The 19,560-nt window shown below is 47.9% G+C and overlaps 1 pseudogene across 1 annotated transcript, besides 2 other annotated features; it reads left to right on the top strand.

Moving 5' to 3' along the window:
- Positions 5,631 to 6,577: an enhancer, noted in NCBI's record as "H3K4me1 hESC enhancer chr17:58191425-58192371 (GRCh37/hg19 assembly coordinates)". NCBI's record gives its function as "activates a minimal SCP1, AML or CMV promoter by ChIP-STARR-seq in primed H9 embryonic stem cells {active_cell/tissue: H9 hESC(primed)}" and the evidence as "EXISTENCE:reporter gene assay evidence [ECO:0000049][PMID:30033119]".
- Positions 6,578 to 7,526: an enhancer, noted in NCBI's record as "H3K4me1 hESC enhancer chr17:58190476-58191424 (GRCh37/hg19 assembly coordinates)". NCBI's record gives its function as "activates a minimal SCP1, AML or CMV promoter by ChIP-STARR-seq in primed H9 embryonic stem cells {active_cell/tissue: H9 hESC(primed)}" and the evidence as "EXISTENCE:reporter gene assay evidence [ECO:0000049][PMID:30033119]".
- Positions 17,722 to 18,881, top strand: LOC653653 (adaptor related protein complex 1 subunit sigma 2 pseudogene; annotated as a pseudogene). Its single transcript, NR_027408.2, has one exon. The product of NR_027408.2 is annotated as an adaptor related protein complex 1 subunit sigma 2 pseudogene (transcript).
- The last annotated feature ends 679 nt before the right edge of the window (positions 18,882 to 19,560 follow it).

Here is a 19,560-nt window from a genome sequence, read left to right as displayed (position 1 = left end):
CATGTGGCCATCGACGTGTGCCCCGGCCCCATCCGCCCCATCCAGCAGATCTCTGGCTACTTCCCCCACTTCCCGCGGGACCTGCCCCATGACGCCCCCGCGCGCCCAGCCACTGCCAGCGCCGGCCGCCGCCGCCCCTCTGACGGCGCCCGCGACCACGACAAGGATGGCGACCATCTCTTCGGAAGCCTAACGATCCAGCACAGGTCCCAGCCCTGCGCAGCCGCCCGCCAAGCCGCCAGAGGACCAGCCGAACGCCAAAGGCTAGGAGTGGACGATTGCAGGAAGTTTCCAACTCGCCGACTTCGCCCCACTCCACTGGCTCCGGCTTGGCGGTCCCCGGCTTCGGGGTGCCCTCCGTCCCTCCCCCTCGCGTCGTCGCGTTCTCCCTTGGCATAACCCCCCGCCGCGGGGCCGCAGACCCCCTAAGCGCTTCGTGCGCTCTCCGCGCCCTGCCCACCGGCCCCGACCCCTCCCCCGACCGGACGGGAGAGGTGGGAAGTTTGGGGGCACCCGCTGTGGGTGTCCCATTTGCGGGGCTGGGCTCCGGGGAGCCGGCGCGCGGCGCCCGCTCCCTGCCCGCCAGCCGTTTGGGAGCTCAGGCGCGGGCAGCCGCTTTTGTTCCCGGGAAGGGCGGAGCTGCGTCCCGGGGAGACACGCGTTGCAGCCGGCAGCGTAGTTGCTCCCCGCTGGCCGGCCGCTCCGGGAGGGCCCCGCAGCGGAGGGTCGGGGCTGGGGCGGGCTGGGGAGGGGGCCCAGGGCTGGGGCCGGTTCGGCCTCCCGGGTGGCGCGCGGGCCGAGGAGCTAGGAGGACCGCCGCGCCGCTTGTCCTTTGGAAAAACCTTGGCGGTTCCTCCTCTGGTGTCCGTGGACCCCGCCGCGGCGTTCTCCAGGGCCGCGGACCTTTGCCCACCGGTTGCGCCCGCTGCCCCGGGCAGAAAGGACCCCCCTCCTCCCGGACCGAGCCCCGAGCCCCATGGAGCAGGCAAGGGCCAGAGTCCCGGGGCCGAGGCCCGACCGGCGGACGCTCCGGGACCTTTTCCCGCCCCCGAGGGTGCATGTCCGGCCGGGGCCGGGACTGGCTGGGAAACCGAGGCCAGAAGAGGTCGCAATCCAGCGAGGAATCGGTTTGTGTGGGGTGGGGGTGGGATGGGAGACCCCTCCCCAACCCCACCAGCCCCAGCCCAGCTGTGGCCTCAGCCATGTCACTCAGAAAACCAGCGTCAAACCCCACCCTGCCCAGGATGTGGACCTTGCCTGGTGAGAGTCCCGCTCGGATTTCCCCAGGGCCCCTCCACCGCGCAGCAGGGGTGTCTGCGCTGGGCCCAGGCATTCACCAGGGCCTGCAGGCTGCCAGCCTGGAGTTTCCCTAGGATCAAATGTGCCACCGGAAGCTGAAGGTGGGGACGACCAGTGGCCCCCCCCGGAGCGAAAACCCCCGCATCTCTCCAGGATGGGGGATCTGCTTGGGGGTCCACTTAGGGGTGTATCCCTCAGGCATTGGAAGTGCGGATGGGAGGCCCCGAGCCATGGTGGCTCCCCCAGTCCCCAGTTCTTTCTCTGTGTGAATCCAGCTTTGCAGGGACGGGGATGTGGTGCATTTCCCGGAAGAGCCGGGGTCCTGGGGTGTGGGGAGCTGGGGCTGGGGTGTGGGGAGGGGCCCAGGGTGGGCAAGCAGAAGCAGGACTGGCACAGGCCTCTGGAGGGCCTGGGGGAGGCTGGACGCCCCGGGGTGCACCCTTGCCTGTCCGCTCTTCTAAGGGTCCGTCTCGGTTTGCCCATCTGTAAATAGGGTTGATTGTCCCTGCTCTACGTGGCTGTTGTGAGCATTCAATGAGCACTGCCAGTCCTCGGAGACTCTTGGGTTTTTTTATTGTGCTAAAATATACAAGTATAAATTTCCCATTGCAACCATTTCTTTTTGCTCCTTCACTCCCCACCCACCCACCCACCCACCCATTTTTAGGGTACAGTTCAGTCATGCTCAGTACCTTCTACCTTCACACTGTGTGCAACCCATCTCCAGAAGCCTCTTCATCCTGCAAAATTGAAACTGGACCCATTAAACAGCAGCTCCCCATTCGTCCTCCCCCGGCCCCTGGCAACCGCCTTTCTGCTTCCTTCTCCATGGATGTGACTGTTCTAGGAACCTCATATAAGTGCAATCACCCAGTATCTGTGCTTTTGTGTCTACCTCCCTTCAGTCGGCAGAATGTCTTCAGGCTTCATCCATACTGCAGCCCGTGTCAAAACTTCCTTTTTCAGGCTGAATGATACTTGAGAATCAGAATCTCCTCTCCTGAACACTTCACCAGCAACAGCATCTGAGAGGCCCAGGGAGGGGCAGGGCTGGGGTTTGGGGGAGAGGCTCTCCTCTCAAAGCCAGATGCCCCCCCATCTATCCCCTCAGTGCCAGCACCAGCCAGGGCCTCCTCTCATGGCTTACTCCTCCTGTCCCTCCCGTGGGAGCCGCCCCTAAACCATGGGGTCAGTTTCTGTCTCTTGCCAACTCACTAGCTGGGGAGGGTCTATCCAAGAGCCCCCCTAACAGCTCCCTGACCTGGAATCAGCCTCCTGCCCTCCCCCTTCTGTGGACAGAGGTCAGACTCCATGGGAGGGCAGCCCCACAGAGGGCTGGGTGGAGGCACTGGTGGGAACCCGGGGTCAGGGCCAGGGAAGCCACCTGTTTGGGCACAGAAGCTGTTGGCAGCACGGTGACACGGCCTCAGGCAGTGCCCACTGGTCTTTTTGCTTCTGGCCAAATGTGTGGCTGTTCAGGGTGCTCAGGGGCCTGCCGGGTGAAGGAGAGGAGAGGCGGCAGCAGAGGGCCCATCACAGTCCAGGGGTCAGAAGGACAGAGCAGGCATCACTCCGTCCCAGTGTGGCAGCACCCCCAGCCTAGCCCCCACGGGTGTCTTGGGGTACAGAGGTGGGACAACCAGAGCCACTGGACAGACATGCCAAAACTTCTGGTGGCCCAAAGATATGCAAGTGAAATGTGTCAAGAGACAGGACCCAGTGAAAACATTTTGAGCTACAACAAACAAATGTATACGAATTGTAAGAATAAGACACAGTGGTCAGGGACCCCCCGCACAGGGTGGGCCACCAGATTCCCAGAACTCTGCACTCCAGGCACGTGGTGGGAAAGGCAAGAGGCCAGGGTGAGGGAGTTGGGTTTGGAAGAGCAGCCATGTCACTGTGGGTGCACATGGGGCTACTGAGCCAGGCCCTGTCCCAGAGGCAGCCCCACAGTGCAGGGCACAGCTCACGTATGCCCACCTGACCTCAGCCACTTCTCTGGCATCTCACAGGGGCCTGGCGTGCAGGGAAGGGGAGGAAACGCTCTGCCTGCCAGGCCCTGTGTCCACGTCGTCTCCCTCCCTCTCACTCCAGCCCTGGGAAGATGGGACTCTTACATCCTTGCCCGTTTTTTTTGTTTTGTTTTGTTTTGTTTTTTTAATTTTGAGAAACGGTTTCAGTCTGTTGCCCAGACTGGAGTGCAGTGGCATGATCATGGCTCACTGCAGCCTCTGCCTCCTGGGTTCAAGCAGTCCTCCTCCCTTAGCCTCCCTAATAGCTGGGACCACAGGCATGTGCCACCACACCCAGCTAATTTTTAAAGTTTTTGTAGAGACAGTGTCTCACTATGTTGCCCAGGCTGGTCTTGAACTCCTGGGCTCATGGGCTGGGATTACAGGTGTGAGCCACTGCGCCCGGCTGAGGCGCAGATGATGATAAAGCTGAGGCTTCGGGTGAAAAGTACTCATCCACTTCCTAGCGAGTGAATACAGGGGCTGAGCCCAGAAACCATGCCAGCCAGGCCCCCAAACTTCTGCCCTCTTCCAGTGGCAGAGAAGTAGGTGGTTGGGAGCCCCCCGATCCCCCGGAGCTCTGCCAAACCAAGGTGGGGTCGGCCTGGGAGGGAGACTCAGCCTCCCCTTGGAGATGAGCCTGGTGTGAGCAGCCAGGCTGCCTCCCTGACCCGGCTGGGTAGAGGCCTTGCGGTGCATCTTTGAATAATGTTCTGGGGTTACCGGCTGCGCCCCACAGATGCCACAGCTGCCTCCCTACAGCCCTGTGCTCCAGCCCAGAAGAAAAAAAAAATGCGGTTTTCCGAAACAAGAGCCTGCTGAGGTCAGCGAAGCCCCTATCTGCCCATCCTTCTGTGTGTCCCTGGGTCTGCACGCTTGGCTGGGTTTTCTAAGGGAACGGAAGGCAGAGTGAGTGAGGGGCGCCGTCTTGTGGAGGAACCCTCTGTGGCCGATCAGCTTGTGTGACCTCTGTGGACTGACTGGGAGTTGTGACAAATATGGCCAGAAATGGGGCCTCTCCGACGGTGACCCGGGGTTATGTGGATTTAGGGTCAGTGAGGGACGTGGCCTCTCAGGAGGCGGTGCTGGGAAGATGGGGGAGAGGAGTCAGGACGAGGGAAGGGCCTGACCAAAGCAGGGTGGGGAGGGAGGCTCAGAGGAAGGTGAGCCACCTGGCTTTCAGGATGGCGAGGAGAGAAAGTCTGTCCTGACAGAGGCCCCCTAACAGCTGCCCTGGGCCAGGATGTTTGTGGGAGGGGAGATTGCACCGCGATGCCACCCTCACTCCCTGTGTCTGGAGGTGTGGGGCCAGGGGCTTCTGTGACAGGGGCCATGAATGCACCCAGCCAGGAGACCCAGGGGACAAGGGCATCTGCTGGCCCAGGCACCTGCAGGCCCTGGCAGCTCCATCCCCCGATTTCCCGTTCACACCCTTTGCTGTTCTCTACCCGGGACCTGAAGCCCATGGACCACAATGGGCTGGCAGACCCCTGTGTCAAGCTGCACCTGCGGCCAGGAGCCAGGAAGGTGAGGGAGTTTCACCCAGGCTTGCCCACCAGCTGTGCCCACCTATGGGGCCTGGACCAGTCCAGGGAAGCCCACAGCTGCCACTCCCCCTCAGAGCCCAAGCAAGCTGAGGAGACCTCAGCCACTCACCTCCATGCAGAGCGCCCAGTCTGTCCCACACCCGGGATGCCTTCCAGCGTTACCTACCTGCTGATCGGGGGAAACCCCTGGAGAATTTCCAGGCTGGCATTTTATAAGAAGCATTCTCAGCTGGAGGTTACTATGATGTGCAAACAAAGACTGTGGTCAGATCACACTGGAAAACATTGTTAAACCAGTTTCTTTACTGTAGGACTTACCAGAGCCTTTAATGTGCTGATGGGCTGCTCCTCGACTCTCAGTAAGGGGGATGAAGTAGGCAGCATCTGCCCAATGTATTTGACCACAGAATCCTCATTCCCATGAGAGATGGGCCAAGAGGCCAACCACAAATGCACTTAAGGCACCAGCACAACAGTGTATCTAGGAGAGGAGAGAAAAAAATGCTATTAAATAAAAGCATCAAGGTGACCTTGAGCCATGAAAAATCAGAACTTCTTAGACTTCCTTCCTTCTGTGCATCCTACACTTCAGTGTTGCTTTATTTTTAGTTTCACAGGGCAGAGTCTGAGTTGACTTGGGGACCTAAATGTGTATGCCTGGGGCCCACCGCAGTCCAGGAGGACCACCCCAGAAGGGAACATTGCGCCTTCTCTGGGGAAGGCAGGGCTGTAGGAGACACGGCAGTGCCCCACCACCTACTCCTGGGGAAGAAATGGCTCCCCGCACCAGGCCTGGGTGTCCTTATGCTGCAGGTGGAGCTCAGGGATGTGAGAGCCAAGAGTGAGTGTAACCAGGGAAGTGTGCCCAATGCGGGAGCTCAGTGACCCCTAACTCGTGGGACTGGAGCCGGCAGGGCCTGTTGTAGGAAGTCCCCGGGACTCTCCCCGGTGTTTTATAAAGAGCAGTCTCCTTGTAGACCAGCTCCTGAAAGCAGTGCGAGAGAGGGATTCCTGTGTCCTTTGCACGGTGGGGAACCTGACGCTGCCACAGAGCTGGAATTGAAACCCCGGGCTGCCTGACCTCCAAACCTAGGCCGGGGTGGCGGGCATCAGACTGAGTCAGACACGGAGCTCAGAGTCGCTGGCACAGGAGGAAGGAGTGGTGGCAATACTCCCGCTCAGAGAGGCCACTGCACGAGCATGCCTGAGGCCAGGATGGGTTCCAGGCAGAGGGGACAGTCCGCAAAGGCAGGGCATGCCCTGGGAAGGAGACTCCAGTTCCACACCAGGTGTCCTGCAGAACCCACCCCAGGGCACCAGGGGCTGGAGCTGGGATCCTCCTTGGATGAGCCTCCTATGGCTGCTGCAGCAAATGACCACAAACTTAGAGGCTTAGAGCAACACACTTACTATCTCACCGCTCTGCAGGTTAGAAGTCTGACAGTGGTCTCCCTGGGCTAATGTCAAGGTGTCGGCAGGGCTGCGTTTCTTCTGGAGCCTGGGGATTCCACCCATTTCCTGGCTCTTTCCAGCTTCTAGAGGCCGCCCGCCCTCCTTGGCTGGTGGCCCATTCCTCCACCTTCACAGCCGGCCTGGTTGCATCTCCCTGGCCTTCTTCCTTGGTGACATCTCACTCTTCTCTTCTCTGTCCTTTCTTCTGCTTTTAAGAACCCTGTGACCACATTGGGCCACCCAGACAGTCTAGGATAATCTCCCTAATTAGTCAGCTAATTAACAACCTTAACCCCATCTGCAGCCTCAGTTCCCCATGGCCACGTCAATAACATATTCACAGCTTCGGAGATTAGGACGTGGCCATCTCTGGGGGCCATCGTTCTGTCTACCACACCCTTTGGTGCTAATAAGATCATTTTTTCCTTTCTCCAGGCAAATAAGCTTAGAACAAAAGCTCTCCGTAACACTCTGAACCACGTGAACAAAACCCTCACTTACTACAGGATCACTCGTGATCCACAAGACCCTGCAGTGGGTGAGGGCCCTCGGCTGCCTGCTCCCTCCCCAACCCCCACCCAGAGAAACCGATGCGGGTGCAGGGTCAAGTTCAGACCTCAGACCCAAGTCTCCCACTTTGGTCCCTTTCTCCCCTCCTGAGGGACCTGGAGGACGGAGTCTGCCCCTCCTCCTTCCCGGCATAAGCATCAGGTCAGCTGCAGTGGAGAAAGTGGTCCCTTGTGCTTGGAAAGAAAAGCAAGCATTCCTCCTGGTTCTCACTCTGCCCTTCCCCTTCCCTTCCACTACCTGGTTCACGCTGAGTACTCGGGGCCTCCAGGTGGTTGCTCATGGCATCCTGGCCCTACCACCACCACAGATGTCCCTTTCGGGAGGACTTGGGGGCAGTCCAGGGCCTTGTCTCTGGGGAGGCCTGTGGGGCTGGCTCTACACTGTGACCACAACTTTGTAGATTCCCCACGATGTAGATTGGATTGTGCACATGTGCACACACACACATTTGGAGCACGTGTAAGCACACACTTAAGAGTGTATACCCATACATACGTACACATATCATGAAAAAATCTATAATGAAACATATCAAAATAACTGTGATTATCTCCATGTGGCAGGAGAATAGGTCATTTTTTCTTACATGTGTGTCTTGTTTTGTTTTTTCCAAATGTTCCACAATGGAGATTCATTACTTTTATGATATGGAAAAACAACAAATGTTATTTAGAAACCGAATCCATAATAGCTGTAATATTACAATAATTTAGTCTGGGCACAGTGCCTCACACCTGTCATCCCAGCAATTTGGGAGGCTAAAGCAGGAGGATGGCTTGAGACCAGGAGTTTGAGACAAGCCTGGGCAACATAGCGAGTCCCCCATCTCTACAAAAAAAAAAAAAAAAAAAAATCAGATTAAAAATTAAAATAAATAAAATAATTTAAACACTTTGATAAAAGAGAGTGAAAACAAATTTGGGGAGTAGACTACATGAAGGCTGGGAATCCACCGGGCTGAGTGGCCTTTTTCTTAACACCCCAAAATGGAACAACCAAACATGGCTTTAGAAACTCTTCCAGCACCTGCCAGCATGTGTGGCCTATACTTCTCTGGAGAGGAAACCCGCTGTCCCAGTTTGGAAAAGAATCTAGTATGAGACTGTATCTGATTTATCTGTTTATTGAGACAGGGTCTCACTCTGTCACCCACGCTCGGTGCAGTGGCATAATCTCAGCTCACTGCAGCCTTGACCTGCTGGACTCAAGCCATCCTCCCATCTCAACCTTCCGAGTAGCTGGGACTACAGGCATGTGCCACCATGCCCAGCTAATTTTTTAATTTTTCTTTTGTGGAGATGGGATCTTGCTATGTTGACCAGGCTGGTCTTGAACTCCTGGCTTCAAGCGATCCTCCCACCTTGGCCTCCCGAAGTGCTGGGATTACAGGTGTGAGCCACCACACCTGGCCTTGTATCAGATTCAGTACTGATTATTTTTTTTAACTATTGTTAAGTTTAGCATGTCATCATTTCAGAATACACTGCTTCTCAAAAGAATGAAGGCTACAACAGCCTGAGTCTCTGTTTTTCACGAATTCCCCAGATGATTCTGAAACACACCAGCTCGAGACCCTCCACTGTTGCATGTTTGAAAGTAGTGGTTCTCAAACTTGTCTGCAACTAGAATCACTTGTGCAGCTTTTAAAACTCTCAGTGGCAAGACCGTACTCCAGACCACAAAACTCAGGGGTGGGGTGAAGGGGGCTGTTCATCAGTAGTGTAAATGTCCCCAGGTGATTTTAATGAGCAGCCAGGTTTGAGAACCAGCGTCCTAATGGGAGCAACCTCATATCCAGGTGTTGTGCCTCCTGAGCCTGGGAAACAACTCTGGCAAAAACCTTGCGTCTGAATAACTTTGTGTTCTCTGTCTCCATCTGGTGGTCATTCCGCTACATTGCTATTATTTACCTGTGCAACTTGGGCTCTTGTACTTTTAAGAAAGTTTGCCAAAAGAATCAAAAAAACCAAAAAGACTTGAAATTTCAAGAAATAGAAATGGCTACGAAATATGCCATTATAAAGAACCGAATGATCTAAGAGTTATAAATGCATTTGAATAATGCATCTCAATCTTTGGCAGTACTTGGCAAATTAAAAAGCAGTCAATAAGTGCTACTTATTCCCATTATAATTAAACATAAGTTAGACCCCATCTTTTGGGTACCAGTGATTCATTTTGAATGAATGGCTTTAATTCAACAAAAAAACATATTTAGTCTTATTATACCTGGCATACCGTTGGCAGTGGTGAACAGACACAGCCTGCATGGTGAGAAACATTGTGTGCGTGCATGTGTGTATGTGTGAGAGATCGAGAGAGAGAGAGAGAGAGAGAGAGTGAGAGAGAGATTATTATTTTAATAAAAAGACTGTTTGTGAGTATACCGCTCCATGAGTTTTGTAACCCCACCCCAATCAGGATTCCAAACAGTGAGAGATTATCATTTTAATAAAAAGGCTATTTGGGGGTATACTGCCCTATGAGTTTTGTTGCCCCACCCCAATCAAGGTTCCGAACAGTTTGATCACTCCCACAAATCTGCTTCATGCTCCCTGTCGTGGCATCCTTGCCTCACCCCAATCCCTGGCCACCAACCGATGTTTTTTGTCCCTGTAGCTTTGCCTTTTCCATAATGTCATGTGTTCATACAATATGTAACCTTTTGAGAGTGGCTTCTTTAACTTACCAAAACTTCCTTCCTTCTGCTTGTTTTAGGTTTATTTTGCCCTTTTTTTTCTTTAGTTTGTTAAAGCTGAGGTTTAGATTGTTGACTCGAGCCTTCCTTCTTTTCTAAAATAAGCATCAAATGCTATAAATTTCCATCTGAGCTCTTCTTTAGCTGCATCTACACATTTTGTTTTATTGTGTGGGGGTTAAGATCCTGAGGTCTGGAGTCAGACAGACGTCCTTTGGATCTGGACTCTGCCACTTGCTGGCCATGGGACCATCTTGTGACCTTGTGTCTCCTCTCTGTGGACCTCAAAACAAGTCTTTATTCAATGCCCAGGGTCCTGCCTAATATTAAGGCTTTAGAGACATATTTTCAAATTGCCTCATGAGGGCCCTTTTAAAACATCAGAAACATTGAATTACTCATAAGATAGCTAAATTTGTAGTAATAAAGTATCTGCCTACACGCCTAATGGATTCAGTAATGTCACTTAATAGGAGTTTGTGTTATTTACAGCAGTCTCTACTTATATTTGAAAAGAGTAACACATCACTTATTAATTTTACAGACAATGTGTGGGTTACATATGGACTTGTGAATCTCATGCATTACCCGTGTTGTCCCCCAGATACATACAGTCACTGTGGGAACAAACACCACCCTGAGTACCTGCTGCTTGCTAGGGATTTTCATGGAGATTATGGCATTTAAACCTGAAATAGGGTCGGGCACAGTGGCTCATGCCTGTAATCCCAGCATTTTGGGAGGCTAAGGTGGGTGGATCACTTGAGCCCAGGAGTTCGAGACCAGCCTGGCCAACATGGTGAAACTCCATCTCTACCAAAAATACAAAAATTAGCTGGGTGTGGTGGCGTATGCCTGTAATCCCAGCTACCCGGGAGGCTGAGGAATGATAATGGCTTCAACTCAGGAGGCAGAGGTTGCAGTGAGCTGAGATCGCACCACTGCACTCCATCCTGGGCAACAGAGCTACACTCCATCTAAAAAAAAAAGGCAAAACAAAACAAAGAAAAGAAAAGAAAACCTAAAACAACTCTGCAGAATAATTGATATTATCACCACTTTATACATGTAGAAACAGGCTCCAAGGGGCTCAATGAATTTCCCAGAGTTCTACAGTTAATAAGGGGCAGAGCCAAGATCCTGACCCTGATCTGTCTGTGTAGCATGAGAGAAATATCCACTGTGGACTGTATTTGAAAATATTCACAGATACTGTGTTAATGCTATATAAAGTATATTATACCTAACATTTTATTACATATTTTTTCATTTAATAATAATTGTGAATAGATACTTCTATCATCAACCTATAAATCTACCTACTTCATGCTTTTAAAGGACTATGTCATACTTCATTAAGTGAATTTACTGTAATCTATTTAACCAACATTCCTTTAGTGAACACTTTAATTGTTTGCAATTTTTTGTTCTTGCATAGAATGCTGAAATGAACAGGATCATATGCAAGTGTTTTTGTACACCTCTAGAAGTGATTTTTTAAAATTCCTAAGAGTGAGATGATAAAATTAGTTACAAACATTTACTAACACATATTACCAAATCAGGCAGCATAATAAAAGATCATCATATTTTTATTCATTCACTTAGCAAATACTTACATCGTGCTTGTGCTGTGCTAGGTACTGCTCCTAGACCTTGACTCCTCATGACATCCTGAGGGGAGAACTGTAATGATTCTGTTTCATACATGAGAAGACTTTGGCTCAGAGAGGCAAAGTAACTTGGCAGAAGTCAGACAGAAAGTAGCTGGTTTGGAAACCAGGGTCTGCAGTGCCCAGGCACTTAATGACTATGTTGTCCTTCCTGATTTATTAAGGCTTTATTCCCAGAATTACTCAAATCCTAAAGAATAAATCTTATTTGATGGGAGTATCAAATGAGATTTTAAGTGGGAAAATATCTCATTAATGTTAACAGTATATGTTTTTAAATAAGATTTTATTATTTTTCTAGCAAAAAGCTTATAAACTATATCGTTTGTTTTATTTTTAAAAAAAGGAAACTATAAACCCAATATTTTAAGAAATGACTTCATTCACTTAACACTTTTGAGCTGAGTCTCTCCTCTCATCAGTTCTCTGTGAGCAGAAAAGAGGGAGGCTTAGGGGCTTAGGGGATTAGGGGTCATGGTCACTGGGAAATGCAACAGAAACCTGTCGGAGCGCCTAGAACCTAGAAGAGTTAGCCATAGTAAATCGGTTGGTGCATATCCTTATAGAACTTTTATTTTGTAAGGGTGTGTGCAAACTAGTTATTATGTTACATCTTACATACATTTACAACCTTCCTTTTTATACCTAATGTATATTTTTCCATGACCTTGAATGCACTTTTATAACTTTTTTTTAGGTTTTAAGGCATTTTATTGCTAAGTTCCACCTCCTAGATTTGGGAAAGAATCTAAAAAACACATATTTGGTGCCTTCTGTGTGCTCTGCCCAGTCACACACGTTATTCTATTTAACCTTCTGATGACCTAGGTTTCTTCACCACTCTCTTTTAGAGAGTTGCTCCCAGCAGTCATGTGACTCATGTAAGGCCATGTTGCTCCAGGTGGCTTGCAATCCAGGTTGGCTGAACTTCCAACTACATTCTCTTTGCTGTGCACTGTCCAAAAGTAAGGAGAGTTTCCTGCCTCTGGAATTCTCTATGTACAGGTGCCACCAGTTGTTTTCTTTGTGCACAGAAGAAAGTAAAACCCAGAGGCCACTATTAGTGATGGAGATGCATTGTCAGGAGAGGACAGAAGACAGGTAGAAGTTGTCAGAGCTCTCATTTCTCCCACATGGGCTTGTACCATATGCAAATGGTTTCATAAGCATATGGTAACAGTGTGTTCAGCCACAAGAGGGAGAACAACTTGGAGCTGGAGATCCTTCTTCTCATGCCTCACCGTACTTTTGACTTCCCGAAAAAAAGGATTCAAGTGGCTCATTTTGGCATCTTGCAGTATAGTGTATTTCCACTGGGCAGGGAGTCGCAGTCTCTCTTACGCTCAGGCTGGCCACAGCGGCTTTCCTGGATATGTCTTCATCCTGGTTCAATCCTAGGGCGGGGGAACAGGGTTGCCCGCACCTTCCTAACAGAGCCAGGCTCCCAAGTAGAGCAGCTGAAGAGGGAAAACAGTAACTGCAGGCTGCAGAACTCATTGTCTGGAGCAATATCTGGGGACTGGGGCAGGTCCTCGGCCCACCATGGTGATGAAAAGTGCTCAAATCATCAAAGAGTAAAAATTCTACACCAAAACCCACACTTTCCACAATAGTCATGTGGATTTCTCCTCCTAGCCTGAGGGCATTTCTCGGGTGCTCCTTTCTGTGTATGATTCTTCACCTCCAGGACAGCCCAGCTCCAGCACACTCAGGACAGGCTATGCCTGATTCTGCCTGACATGCTCCAGGCTTAGGAAACTGGCTCCTGCGAGCCTGGGCTGCCACCCCTCTCCCTGACTCTGGGTTCCAACCCTGGCTTCCTGGGGTGCTTGTGGCATGGGATGGAGTTAATGGTCAGCCTGGGAGTTGGAACTTCCACATTGTGTTAGCCTTTAAAACATCAGTGTCAGCCAGGAACTCAGAAAAGATAAAGACTCCAGACTGCCAAAAGCCCCTTCTCTTAAAGGGATGAGTCAAAGGCTTTCTTCCTTTCCCACATCCCAGGCAGGATTCATCTCTACCCTATTCCCAGAATAAACAGAGTCCCATTAGGTTTTCATGCCTACAATTGTCCCCAATTTGTACTAAAGAGTAGTTGGTTCCAGACAGGAAAACCATAGCCTCCACTCTATAGAGGGTGAGAAATGTGTGTATAAACAGCCTGCATTCGAATGCAGATAGTCATGGCAGGCTGGATGAAGACCACCACTAGTTCAAAAGATGCTTCTTTGAGAATTAGAAAAACGCCCCCTTCCAGTAGACAGAGTCCCATGGGTAAACAGACAGCACCTGTATCCTATTTAGGAAAAGTGTCCCTCCCTCTAGGTGTAGGCAGTGCCAGGGTGGAGCACTTCAGAAATGACACTGGAGATGGATGATGGTCCCACTCATCCTGGCCACCAGACATAGTTGTTCAGTGCACAACCTGGAAAATCATGCATGTCAGCCCTGGTTAGAGTGGATGAGATGAAAGTATGGGGAGATCTTATACTTGTGCTTTCATTTCCTGTTACATCTTAAGTATAATGTCATTCTCATTGCACAGACATGGAAATTAGGGCCCAGAAGGTGAAGTGATCTGTTGAAAAATAAATGGCAAGGCTGGTCTCTTCAACTCAAAAACCAGACCACTTTCTACCATGCCATACTGCCTCCTTGCCTGAAGCACTTTTAAAGAGCCACCTTCTGCCTACGTCTGCATCCTTTAGTTTTCTCAAGGCACAAAATCTTTAAGAACCAACCACCCAGCATCTTTGCATATCTTGTGTCCTGGTGTGGCAGCTGCTGACCACATCCTGAGTCACGCTCACGGCCAAGCTCCCCCACTCAGGACCATTTGTCTGTCCAGATTCATCTTTTCCTGTTCTTTGCAAAGTCCAGCTAGAGCAAGCAACTTCTTCCCAATGGGTTTTTCCCATCTCTGGTTGGCTGGCTGGCTGGGCTTCCTCTACAAACCCGCCCCCGCTTTCCCCTAAGCAGGGCCTGGTGGCCCTGTCCTGTGGAGCTGGGCTCATGAGGGCATCTGACCAGGGGCAGCTATTCCTGGTGCTGTTGTCATTGTCCTGTTTCATGTATGAACGTAGCTGCTGGCCATGTTCACAAATGAAATGTGAAATTGTAATTACTTTGGTCTTCATCTGGAGGTCCACTGAGAAGCCTCATACAAACTTATGGCCCTGTTCATCTTAAAGCGTTTTGATTCATACTTTCGAATGGCCTCATGAGGACCTTTTATAAAGTAAAAATGTTAGGCAACCACATGATATCCATTGACCCAGTGAGGCTGTTTTACTGGATATAAGAGGTTTGACCCAGCACTTTGGGAGGCTCAGACAGGAGGATCACCTGAGGCCAGGAGCTGGAGACCAGCTTGGCCAACATGGCAAAACCCCATCTTTATTAAAAATACAAAAAAAAAATTAGCCTGGCATGATGGCACATGCCTGTAATCCCAGCTACTCGGGAGGCTGAGGCACAGGAATCACTTGAACCGGGAGTTGGAGGGTGCAGTGAGCTGAGCTGAGATGGTGCCACTGCACTCCAGCCTGGGCAACAGAGTGAGACTCTGTCTCAGGAAAAAAAAAAAAAAAAAGAGGTTTGAAAAAATGGTAGCACGTACTTATGTTTTCACAATATTTTATGTATATAAGGATTTACCAACCTCATGCATTAAGTGCTATCCCCAAAAGACATGCAGTTGCTGTAGGAAAAAACATCAAGTTCTGAGCTCCTACTGTTTGCCAGGCATATTCTGAGATGATCACGTTTAAATCTCAGAGTTACCCTGCAGAGTAGTCAGGGTATCACTGCCTGACAGATGAAGAAGCTGAGGCTTACAGCAGTTAAATGACTTATCCCAGGCCACATAGATAATGAGTGGGAGAGCCCAGGTCTGTCTGTGAGGTATAATGAAATTAGCATAAACCCTCCACATTGGTGCCACTTGAATAAATTAACATATTCTCTCACAGAAAGTATTTTATTGGGCATAACATTTTATATGTTTTACCATTTAACATTAGTTGTGGATCTTCCCACATCACATAAATATGCCTACTTCTTTTTGGATTATATGATTACTAATCAGCGGATTTACTATAATTCATTTAACTAATACCACTTTTGATTGTCATTTTATTTGCCTAATGTTTTTTCCTTTTGCACAGATAGATGTAATAAACATGATTTTATAGTAATATTTTTGTCTGCCTGTGAAAATGTTTACTGTACAATAAACTCCTAGGAGTAAAACCAGGTCAAAGATTATAAATACAGTATTTATTTTCATAAATATTATCAAGTCAGCCACAAGTGTTTAAATCACTAATGGCTTCAGATTATTGTATTTAATGAGTAAACACTTTTATAGGGTTTGCTTTTATAAACACACTTATTTGTCAGATATCATTCTAAATGCTTTACAAAATTAACTTTTTCAATTTTTAATATAACCCTGAGATGTATATTATGATTATCCCCATTCTACAGATAAGAACACTGAGGAGTTAATTAACTTGCCACATATCTAGGAAGTGACAAGGCTAGTTGCACAGCCAGGCAGTCTGGCTCCTGAGTCCACATTTTAGACAACACTATACCTCCTGGTTCTTTTGAGGCATTACTACTGGAACTACCCTAATACTCATGAATAAACATTTCTTTTGGGGAGGGTCAAATAAAATTTTAAACAGAAAAGCGTTTCACCAACTGTCAAGCTCATAAAAGTTGTACATTATCCACTTTTTTCATGATGCCCACAGATAATTTATTAATGATATCATCTATTTTAAAAGACATATGTAAAACCCAACCCTTAAGAAAGGATTCCTATCACTGTTCCCCACAGGCACCCTCCTCAGTCTTACACCTTTCCACCCCCCAAAACAAATCATTCAGCATATTTATTTCATACTGTAATATAGGAAATAGCTATTTTTTAGACTTTTTATATTATTAGCACTGATCATACAAACATGGAATAGAAATTCCTTATGTTTTATCTGGATTTAAGGTGATACATAATGGAATATATTTCTATCAAGCCGTACACATTAGAGATAATGAAATCACTTGTGTTCTAGTTTAAACATTATGGGAATTTCAGAACTGCAACATAACAAATAATCCTCGGATGAAAACTAAATCTCTCCTCTGGTCAGGCATCTATGTGCATCAGTGAGGAGAAGACAGGGACTGTGGAAGGGAAAACAGCGAGTCAGGAAGGACTGTGGCCACGTCCATTCCCTGGTCCCTCAAGTAATTAAATCCTGACCTCCTCTACCCCAGTCTGTCCTGGGGAATGGCCAACACTGGCCTTTCACAACTGTGTGTTACTAGAAATGCAACAGAAACCCAGCTGAATCCCCTCCTCTGCCCTTCTCAAAGGAAAGATCTGTCCCAGGACCATTTGTTCCAACATTTTCAATTATGAGAACTGGGAAGATAAAGTTATTTTTACATTTATAAAGAAACACATATTTATTCACACTCATTACAGGAAGGTCAGAATCTATACAAAACCAAGAGGATTTTTAAAATCCCATAATACCACCATCAAAAGAGCCACACTTAGCATGTTGGTCCACAGGCTTCTTAGCACCCTCTTCTGTTGGTGTATGCACAAAATGCACAATCACATTCTGTCTACATTTTATAATTTGCCTGTTTGTTGATTAACACTATATATTGAACAATTTTTAAGACCTGCAACATATGTTGACAACATTACTTCCAAACAATGTATTTACAAATAAATGCACACACACACTATCTGTCTTATATACAACGTGTCTTACTTTCTAATTCTCCACTCTTGAAGATTTAGGTTTTTCCAACTTTTTCTTAATATATTCACCAGGAGTCAGCAACTTTTTTCCATAAAAGGCCAAAGAGTAGGCCGGGCGCAGTGGCTCACGCCTGTAATCCCAGCATTTTGGGAGGCCAAGGCGGGCAGATCACGAGGTCAGGAGATCCAGACCATGCTGGCTAACACGGTGAAACCCTGTCTCTACTAAAAACACAAAAAATTAGCTGGGTGTGGTGAGTGTGGCGGCGGACACCTGTAGTCCCAGCTACTCGGGAGGCTGAGGCAGGAGAATGGCGTGAACCCGGGAGGCAGAGGTTGCAGTGAGCCAAGATCGCACCACTGCACTCCAGCCTGGGCGACAGAGCAAGACTCTGTCACAAAAGAAAAAAAAAAAAAAAGGCCAAAGAGTAGATATTTTAAACTCTGCAGGCCATAGGTTTCTGTTGCAACACTCAACTCTGCTGTTGCAGGGAAAGAAGCCATACACAATTTGTAAATGAATGGGCATGACTGTGTTCTTCCCGACATGGTTTGCCAGCCCCTGATGTATAACACTACAGAGGATGCTGTTAGAATGAAATTTCTTTACATATCTCTGATGATCTCCTTAGGACTAATTACTAGACATGACATCATGGTAGCTGTGGGTCAAAGGGCATGCATGCTCTGGGATGTACATTCCCAGATTGCTCATCATGAGCCTTTCTCATGTCAAAATGTTTTGTGACCACCAGAAGGCTGGTTCTGCTTTTATTACCCATGGAATGAGAAATAGAAATGACATGGCATGGCCCTTCCCCACAGCACCACGGCTTCTCTTCCTCAGCACGGCGACAGGGGCTTCCCCTTTGCCGCCGCCGCCGGCCAAGCTCCGCCGCCACCGGCCAAGCTCCGCCGCGCCCGCGGCCCGCGGCCGCCATGCAGTTTATGTTGCTTTTTAGTCGTCAGGGAAAGCTTCGACTGCAAAAATGGTATGTCCCACTATCGGACAAAGAGAAGAAAAAGATCACAAGAGAACTTGTTCAGACCGTTTTAGCACGGAAACCTAAAATGTGCAGCTTCCTTGAGTGGCGAGATCTGAAGATTGTTTACAAAAGATATGCTAGTCTGTATTTTTGCTGTGCTATTGAGGATCAGGACAATGAACTAATTACCCTGGAAATAATTCATCGTTATGTGGAATTACTTGACAAGTATTTCGGCAGTGTCTGTGAACTAGATATCATCTTTAATTTTGAGAAGGCTTATTTTATTTTGGATGAGTTTCTTTTGGGAGGGGAAGTTCAGGAAACATCCAAGAAAAATGTCCTTAAAGCAATTGAGCAGGCCGATCTACTGCAGGAGAAAACAGAGACTATGTATCACAGCAAGAGTTTCACTGGGTTTAAGAAAGCGTACTAGAATACCTGCTGGAGTACTGACACGCATCGAAATGTAGTAGGGTATATACATTCAGTTTGTAATGACAATTCTGTCAAGTTTGTTATTTATATTTTAGCATTACCTGAAAAGTCTAATTACATTAAATCCCAAGGGATAGTCCCAATTACTTCATTAAACTGGTATTTTCATAGGGAATTTTGCTTGGATAATGATCCATTATTGGGGCTTATAATTTATTTTTTACACAGAATATGGAAATAGCTTCAGAGGTTCATTGACAAAAAAGCATTCATTAAATACTGTGAATCACTAATGCCATTGATACAGAAGAATTTCCCTATGAAAATGAGAGCTTCTGTGAGAAAATGAAGTAGTTGGGAGTTTAATTTCTTACTAATATGATTTTAACTTGCTGCTTCATTCCACTATATTCTGAGTTGGGGGAAAAGGGCAGCTATCTCTTTAAAATATTTAGGAATTCTTTGAGGATTAAAATGTAACTGGCTTTTGTCCTCAGATACGTTTGTAATTAATGGTTGTGTAAGTTTAGGGATTTGTTAGATATTTTTCTTGGAACAGTTTACATGATTTTGTAGTTCAATATTTCAAAGTTTCAAATTGAATAAATATTAAAATGAGGATACTTTAAAGACACTCAAATAAGCAATTTTAAACTTGCTTTCTGGTGGGGATATAATCCCTTTGAGAGTCCGAAAGATGATGGGCCGTCACCCCAGGAAAATTTGTACATCATTTTGTTTCTAATTTCAGGGAACTCTCGGAGCCCCTAGAAGTCCTTCTGTAGACACTCAAATCTGGAGAGTTTGTTAAAATCTGTCTTGAGGATTTTTAAAAAAGTAATATCCTCAGTCTCAGTCAAATTCTTTGGATTTTTTGCTTTTGTAGGTATAAGTAAACAGTTAAAAACCTTCATTGCTACTTAAAATACCAGATGAGTGACTACTTTTCCAGTTTTTTTGGGAAAGATTTTTCTCTAGTTTCTTTAGTTTATGTAATACAAATGTACTAATGAATTTAAACACTGGTGGAAGGGAAATATTCTAATTGAATTTTTGGTCAACTCAGTATTGACCAGATGACTTACACTGAAAATCTT

The sequence above is a fragment of the Homo sapiens genome, chromosome 17 (assembly GCF_000001405.40).
Source record: "Homo sapiens chromosome 17, GRCh38.p14 Primary Assembly".
Taxonomy (NCBI): domain Eukaryota; kingdom Metazoa; phylum Chordata; class Mammalia; order Primates; family Hominidae; genus Homo; species Homo sapiens.
Note: the sequence above shows the minus strand (reverse complement) of the source record. Positions and strands in the feature narration are given on the sequence as shown.